The sequence below is a fragment of the Homo sapiens genome, chromosome 9, assembly GCF_000001405.40.
Source record: "Homo sapiens chromosome 9, GRCh38.p14 Primary Assembly".
Taxonomy (NCBI): Eukaryota; Metazoa; Chordata; class Mammalia; order Primates; family Hominidae; genus Homo; species Homo sapiens.
The window spans coordinates 14,975,282-14,976,935 of NC_000009.12; positions in this window are offsets into that span (position 1 = coordinate 14,975,282).

Below are 1,654 nucleotides of genomic sequence, written 5' to 3' on the forward strand. Positions count from 1 at the left end.
TTGCATATATGCCATCTCTGGTTGACCAGCACCCTTTTAAGAACAGAATCTGCCCAGAGACCAAGTCACTGGCCAAGAAGGAGGAGACAGAAGCACTGACATGCTCGCAGGGATGAGGAAGCCAAATAACTCACTTTCCTGTCCGTGTTTCTGCCTTCCAAATCAGATGGAGAAAAATGATTTGCTTTGCAACCACTCACTGACCACACATTGTCTACAATCATGACTCTTGGAAATAAATCATTTTCAATGCTCTTTAAAAAATTTTTTTTAATTAAATATGAAAACATTAAAAATTAGCTGGTCATACTAGTGTGTACCTGTAGTCCCAACTACATAGGAGGCTGAGGCGGGAGGATCACTTAAGCCCAGGAGATCAAGGCTGCAGTGTGTTGTGATCAGGCCACTGTACTGCAGCCTAGGCAATAGAGTGAGACCCTGTCTCAAAAGTAAATACAATTTTAAAAATAAAATAACACCTGATTCATTTCTCCTTGTACATTCTTTCAAGGCCTAACCCATGACCTTCCAAGGCATCCTGGGTCAACATCCAGTTCACAATGATCTCTTATGAATTTCAACATTGCTACTGTCCCAGCAGCCTTCGTAGTTGACTATTCCAACTTAACTCTAAACTCTAGGTTCATGGTGCATAGGGGCTACGTTTTCTTTCAACTTAGTCTCAACATCTCCTAAAAATTACTCAATAAATACTCACGTTAAAAATTAGCCTGAGCAAGGCCAGGCACGGTGGCTCACGCCTGTAATCCCAGAACTTTGGGAGGCCGAGGCGGGTGGATCACGAGGTCAGGAGATCAAGACCATTCTGGCTAACACGGTGAAACCCTGTCTCTACTGAAAATACAAAAAATAGCCGGGCGTGGTGGCGGGCGCCTGTAGTCCCAGCCACTCGGGAGGCTGAGGCAGGAGAATGGCATGAACCCGGGAGGCAGAGCTTGCAGTGAGCCGACATAGCGCCACTGTACTCCAGCCTGGGCGACAGAGCGAGACTCTGTCTCAAAAAAAAAAAAAAAAAAAAAACACATTAGCCTGAGCACATAATTAGGAGACTAAATTTTTGAAAGAAAATCCCCCAAACATAAGACATCTCAAAGTCCATCCTGCAGATTATCTAAACCTTTGTCCCCCAATTAAAGAATCCACCTACATTTTCTTTTTTTTTCTTTTGTTCTTGGGAGTGGGGGGCGAGTGGGGATGGAGTCTCATTGTGTTGCCCAGGGTGGAATGCTGTGGTGCAGTCTCAGCTCACTGCAATCTCCACCTCAGGTTCAAGCAATTGTCCCACCTCAATTGTCCCACCTCAGCCTCTCTGAGTAGGTGGGACCACAGGCGCGCACCACCAGGCCCAGCTAATTTTTTTATTTTTAGTAGAGACAGGGTTTCACCATATTGGCCAGGCTGGTCTTGAACTCCTGACCTCACGTGATCTGCATGCCTCAACCTCCCACAGTGCTGGGATCACAGGTATGAGCCACCGTGCCTGGCCCCAGCTTCATTTTCTTTAAATGGCCATACACCTGATAACGGTGGGACAGCAGATTGAAATCAAAATGTTATGAATTATTTAACTTCCATTTCTCTTAACAGGTGACTGACCTGTCCATTGTATCCACTCTTGGAGTTTACGCCTTGG